Below are 7,187 nucleotides of genomic sequence, written 5' to 3'. Positions count from 1 at the left end.
AATACAAAAAAATGAGATGGGCATGGTGGCTCATGCTGTAATCCCAGCTACTTGGGAGGCTGAGGCATGGGAATCACTTGAACCTGGAAGGCAGAAGTTGCAGTGAGCCAAGATCACGCCACTGTATTCCAGCCTCAGCCTGGAGGACACGAGACTCTGTCAAAAAAAAAAAAAAAAAAAGGTGTTGGCAGGTTGATGTCTTTTTTGGTTTTTGTTTCTTTTGAGTGTCATGCTCTATCACCCACGCTGGAGTGCACTGGTGCGACAATAGCTCACTGCGGCCTCAACCTCCCGGGCTCCCTGGGCTCAAGCCATCCTCCTGCCTCAGCCTCCCAGAGTAGCCGGGACTACAAGGCGTGCACCACCACGCCCGGCTAATTTTTAAAATTTTTTTGTAGAGATGGGATCTCTCTTTGTTGCCCGGGCTGGTCTAGAATTCCTGGGTTCAAGTGATCCTGCTACGTCAGCCATGAGCCACGGTGCCCAGCCTGGCAGGCTTGGTTTCTCTTAATGCCTCTCCTTGGCTTGCAGATGGCCACCTTCTGGCTGTGTCCTCTCTCTCATGGCCTTTCCTTTGTGGGCACACATCCTTGTTCTCTCCTTCTTCTTATAAAGACATAGCATAATTGGCCGGGTGCTGTGGCTCACGCCTGTAATCCCAGCATTTTGGGAGGCCAGGGTGGGCAGATCACCTGAGGTCAGGAGTTCAAGACCATCCTGGCCAACGTGGCAAAACCCTGTCTCTACTTAAAAAAACAAAAATTATCCAGGCATGGTGGCGCATGCCGGTAGCCCCAGCTACTCAGGGAGTGAGGTGGGAGGATCGTTTGAGCCCAAGAGGCGGAGGTTGCGGTGAGCCAAGATCAAACCACTGCACTCCAGCCTGGGTGATGGAGCTAGATTCCATCTCAGAAAAAAAAAAAAAAAAAACCCAAAGCATAATGGGGTAGGGCTCCACCCTCATGACCTCATGTGATCTTAATTACCTCTCTAAAGACGCTGTCTCTAAATACAGTCACTCTAGAGATTAGGATTCAACATATGAATCTGGGGACAGAGACACAATTCCGTTCATCACACTCTTCTTATTCATTTTGGTTCTAAAATTAGCCGGGAGTGGTGGCTCATGCGTCTAATCCCAGCAGTTTGGGAGGCCGAGGAGGGCAGATCACCTGAGGTCAGGAGTTCTAGACCAGCCTGGCAAAGATGGTGAAACCCTGTCTCTACAAAAATACAAAAATTAGCTGGGCATGATGGCGGATGCCTGTAATCCCAGCCACTCGGGAGGCTGAGGTGGGAGAATTGCTTGAACCCAGGAGGCGGAGGTTGCAGTGAGCCAAGATCGCGCTATTGTGCTCCAGCCTGGGTGACAGAGGGAGACTCCATCTCAAAAAAAAAAATAAATAAATAAATAAAATTGCCCCAGATTTGGCCATTGAGAGATCCTTCAGGCTGATTCCTATGTCATTTTAATATGCCCTCATCATTCCTCAAGCACTTCCTTACTTTTCCGGCACAACGATATGTGCCAAGTTCCTGTCATACTTCCATAGTGGAGGGATGTAGAACACACCAAGCACACCATATCTGGGTGCTTGGTGTATTCATTACTACTGGGGTGTCACCACTCCCAGGACCTCTCAGTGGACAGAACTAGGGAGTGTGTGTGTGTATAATGTTGATAGATGAATACATGGATAGATGGAGATAAACACACATTCTATCTATATTTATTTTTATTTTTTCTTTTTAATTTTTCTTTCAACAGTCCTACTGCAGAAGATATTTATTTATCTAATCCTTTACATATATATATATGTTACAGACATGCGCCACCACGCCCGGCTAATTTTTTGTATTTTTAGTAGAGATGGGATTTCAGCGTGTCAGTCAGGCTGGCCTCGAACCCCTGACCTCAGGTGATCCGCCCACCTCGGTCTCCCAAAGTGCTGGGATTAAAGGCTTGAGCCACAGCACCCGGTCAATACTTTTCATTTCACAAGTGTAACTCCTTGAAAATGCTTTTGCACTTTTTTTTTTTTTTGGAAGTGAGGTCTTGCTCTGTTGCCCAGGCCCAGGAGTGCAGTGGCACAATCATAGCTTGCTGCAGCCTCAACCCCCCGGGCTCAAGTGATCCTCCTGCCTCAGCCTCCTGAGTAAGTAGGACTACATGTGCACCACTATGCCCAGGTAATTTTTTATTTTTTGTAGAGACAGGGTCTCACTATGTTGCCCAGGCTGGTCTCAAACTCCTAGCCTCAAGTGATCCTCCCAAAGTGCTGGGATTATAAGTGTGAGGCAGCGTCTCTGGCCTGCACTTCAAAATCCATCTCAGGATTGCTTCCTAGTGAAGCAGAACCGCATAGCTTCTACCAGGAGTGGTCTGAGAAAGCAGATGGTAACATGAGGCTTGGGAACCAAATCTCTCGGTGCCTGGCTGACAATGAGGACACCATCCCAGGGGGTAGGGGAAGCACAGTCCCTGGCACAGGTGACAGTCCAGTTGTTGAAACTGTCACCCATGGAGGCTTGGGAGAATGTGCTGGTGGAGGAGATGCATGGGCAAATGAGTTGATTCAGCCTTTTGAGATGTACGGCAGGAAAACTAAATACAAGGAAAATGGAACTGGATGATTATTACCACGTTGCCTGGACATCGTCAGGCATCAGATGAAAGACTGGGGGTGAGGCTGGGCACGGTAGCTTACGCCTGTAATCCTAACACTTTGGGAGGCTGAGGCGGGTGGATCACTTGAGGCCAGGAGTTCGAGACCAGTCTGGCCAACATGGTTAAACCCCATCTCTACTAAAAATACAAAAATTGGCCAGGCACAGTGGCTCACGCCTGTAATCCCAGCACTTTGGGAGCCTGAGGCAGGGGGATCACCTGAGGTCAGGAGTTCGAATCCAGCCTGGCCAACATGGAGAAACCCTGTCTCTACTAAATATACAAAAATTAGCCGGATGTGGTGGCACGCACCTGTAATCCCAGCTACTCAGGAGGCTGATACAAAAGAATCGCTTGAACCCGGGAGGCGGATGTTGTAGTGAGCTGAGATCGCACCACTGCACTCCTGCCTGGGTGACAGAGCAAGATTCCTTCTCAAAAAAAAAAAAATTAATGGTTGAATGAGTTATCATGGGAGTGGGTGAGTTATCGCCACAGTGGGTTTGGTATAAAAAGCCAGTTTGGACTTCAGTGCACCCCTCTTGGCCATGATGCCTTTTGCCATATTATGACACAGTACAAGACCCTCACCAGAGGCTGACCAGAAAAAAAACCCTCAAACTTGGACTCCCCAGCCTCCAGAACTGTAAGAAATAAACCCCTTTTCTTTATAAATTACCCAGTCTCAGGTATTCAGTCACAGCAACATAAAATGGACTAAGACAGTTCTTTAAAGGTAATTTTTCTAATTAAGTTGGATACCTGTTATAGGATTTTGGTAGGTTCCTTTTATCAGATTGAAGACTATTATCATGGCTCACTGTAGCCGCAAACTCCTGGACTCAAGCAATCCTCCTGCCTCAGCCTCCTGATTAACTGGGACTACAGGAGTGTGTGGCTAATTTTTTAATTTTTGTAGAAACAAGGTCTTTCTTTGTTTCCCAGCCTGGTCTCAAACTCCTGGCTTCAAGCGATCCTCCCACCTCGGCCTCGAAAAGGGCTGGGATTACAGGTGTAAGCCACTGTGCATAGCCTAGAGTGTCAAATTCTATCAAATTATTTGTATCTTTTCATCTGTTAATATGATGTATTACATGAATATATTTTCTTTCTAAATTTATTTTTTCTTTTTTGAGATGGAGTCTCTCTCTGTCACCCAGGCTGGAGTCCAGGGGCAAGATCTTGGCTCATTGCAACCTCCGCCTCCTGGGTTCAAGTGATACTCCTGTATCAGCCTCCCAAGTAGCTGGGACTACAGGCGCCCACCACCACACCTGGCTAATTTTTGTATTTTAGTAGAGACGGGGTTTCACCATGTTGGCCAGGCTGGTTTTGAACTCCTGACCTTAAGTGATCCACCTGCCTCAGCTTCCCAAAGTGCTGGGATTACAGACGTGAGCCACTGCACCCGGCCTCTTTCTAAATTTTTGTTGTCAAATACATCGTAGGTACAAAGGCGTGCTGGATGCTGTAATATGCCACCCACACCCCCTCTTTAGGACTGAGGCATTCTTTCTGCCAGCAGCCTGGGGTGTTGGTAGCTGATGGCTTACAGCTGCACCTCTCTCTGGGACTTCAGCTGAAGAAAGCCATCTGGCCCAAGGTTATCCCCAATCCCCAGGGGCAGCCCACATTCTATATCTGGTTCATAAGGAAGTACAAAGGCCTGGCTCCATGCCTCAGCCGGGGATCCCTCGGACAGGCCACCCCAGCTCCGCATTCTCTGCCATCCTGGCTGAGGCTCTGGTGGCAAGCACATCACACTTCCACGTCTCCCTCTGCCCACCTTGCGCTCCTCTCTCCCTTAGAAGTTTCCCCCCACAGAGCACTCCTCCAAAACCATCTGCCTGCAAATCTCCACCTCAGAATCTGTTTCCCAGGAAACCCTACATAAGTAAAAAAGTGTGTGTGCTTGTGTATTTATTTTTAAACAACAATAAAATACTTTTCTGTCCACCAACTAAGTTCTGAAATGGAATATTACCAGTGCTTTAGAAGCCTGCTTTCCTTTCCCTTCCATCATACTCAGAGATCATCAATAATCTGATCTTTTTTTTGAGACAGGGTCTTGCTCTGTCACCCAGGCTGGAGTGCAGTGCTGTGATCTCAGCTCACTGCAGGCTCCGTCTCCTGGGCTCAAGGGATCCTCCCACCTCAGCCTCGCAAGTAGCTGGGACTACAAGTGTGAGCCAGCACACCTGGCTAATTTTTGTTGTTGTTTTTGCTGTTATAGAGACGGGGTCTTACTGTGTTGCCCAGGCTGGTCTCAAACTGCTGGGGTCAAGTGCTCCTCCTGCCTTGGCCTCTCAAAGTGCTGGGATTACAGGCGTGAGCCACCATGCCCAGCCTCTCATTTGTTTTTTAATTTTTATTTATTTATATATATATAATATATAATATATATAAATATATAATATGTATAATATATATTTTAAATATATAATATATATTTTTAAATATATAATATATAATATATATAATAATATATAAAATATATAATTATATATATATATATTTTTTTTTTTTTTTTTTGAGATGGAGTCTCACCCTGTCACCCAGGATGGAGTGCAGTGGTGTAACCTCCACTCAAGGTTGGCCCACGGCAACCTCCACCTCCTGGGTTCAAATGATTCTCCTGCCTCAGCCTCTCGAGTAGCTGAGATTACAGGCATGTGCCACCATGCCCGGCTAATTCTTTGTATTTTTAGTAGAGATGGAGTCTCATCATGTTGGCCAGGCTGGTCTCGAACTCCTGACCTCAAGTGATCTGGCCACCTCGACCTCCCAAAGTGCTGGAATTATAGGCTTGAACCACCACGCCTGGCCTGATTTGTTTTTTTAGAGTGGGAGGCCTCACTCTGTTTTCCAGGCTGGAGTGCAGTGATGCAATCATGGCTCACCGCAGCCTCAAACTCCTGGGCTCAAGCGATCCTCTCACCTCAACATCCCAAGTAGCTGGGACTACAAGTGTGGACCACCATGCCTAACTAACTTTTTATTTTTTGTCTGCAGAAATGGGGTCTCACTATGTTTCCCAGGCTGGTCTCAAACTTCTGGCCTCCCACCTCAGCCTCCCAAGTCACTAAGATTACAGGTGAAAGCCACTATGCTTGGCAATATCCTAATTTTTTGTAATAATCTCTTGCAGGCTTTTTTTTTAGTGTTTGGCCATCTATCGTGTGTGTGAGTGTGTGTGCGTGTGTGTAGTTTTTTTGTTGTTGTTGTTGTTTCTTTTTGAGATGGAATCTCACTCTGTTGCCCAAGCTGGAGTGCAGTGGCGTGATCTTGGCTCACTGTAACCTCTGTCTGCTGGATTTAAGCGATTCTCCTGCCTCAGCCTTCCGAGTAGCTGGAACTACAGGTGTCCGCCACCACGTCCTGCTAATTTTTGTATTTTTAGTAGAGATGGGGTTTCACCACGCCTGGTCTCAAACCCCTGACCTCAAGTGATCCACACACCTTGGCCGCCCCAAGTGCTGGGATGACAGGCATGAGCCACCGTGCCTGGCCTGTGTTTGATATAAATGATATAAATGATACAAATGAAAGCATACCACCTGGATTCTTCTGTGACCTGCATCTTTCATTCAACATTAATATGAGATTCATCCATTTTGATGAAGATAACTACTGTTCATCAATTTTGTCCAATATGGGAGTGGACTACAATCTATGTGTCATTGTGTCCTTAGTGTGCTAGTGCCCCCAGTTTGGGGACTATTTCTCACCCATGTTGCTGTGAACATTATCTACCTTCCTCCAGGGGCCATGGGCAGCAATGTCTGTAGGGCAGAGTTTCTCATTCTTGGTACTGGTGACATTTGGGGCTGGATAATTCTGGCTGGAAGGGCCCACCCTGGGAATTGGAAAATGTCTAGCAGCATTTCTGGCCTCATCTCACTAGATGCCAATAGCACCCCTGCTTCTCAGTTGTGAGAGCCAAAAAATGTGTCCAGATACTGCCAAATATCCCCAGGGGGAAAAATCATTCCCAACTGAAAACCACTGCTTTAGGCAAACCACTTATTTTTTTTGTTTTGTTTTGAGTCGGAGTCTTGCCCTGTCGCCCAGGCTAGAGAGCAGTGGTGCAATCTCGGCTCACTGCAAACTCTGTCTCCTGGGTTCAAGTGATTCTCCTGCCTCAGCCTCCCGAGTAGCTGGGATTACGGCGCCAGCCACCACGCCTGGCTAATTTTTGTATTTTTAGTAGAGATAGCGTTTCACTATGTTGGCCAGGCTGGTCTCGATCTCCTGACCTCTAGTGATCCGCCCTCCTCGGCCTCCCAAAGTGTTGGGATTACAGGCGTGAGCCACTGCGCGTGGCTACAAACTGCTTAATTTCTAAGACCTTTCTCCTCTACATAATAGTGCCAATAAAGTATCTACTTATTATTCTATATATATTATATATTCTACCTACCCATATAATATAACCGTATATACCTGCACAAGCTGCATATTAATATGTGCAATGTGCTTAGAACAAGGTCTGGCCCAGGGGATGACTATTAGATTCTTG

This window comes from Homo sapiens, chromosome 19 (genome assembly GCF_000001405.40).
Source record: "Homo sapiens chromosome 19, GRCh38.p14 Primary Assembly".
Taxonomy (NCBI): domain Eukaryota; kingdom Metazoa; phylum Chordata; class Mammalia; order Primates; family Hominidae; genus Homo; species Homo sapiens.
Note: the sequence above shows the minus strand (reverse complement) of the source record.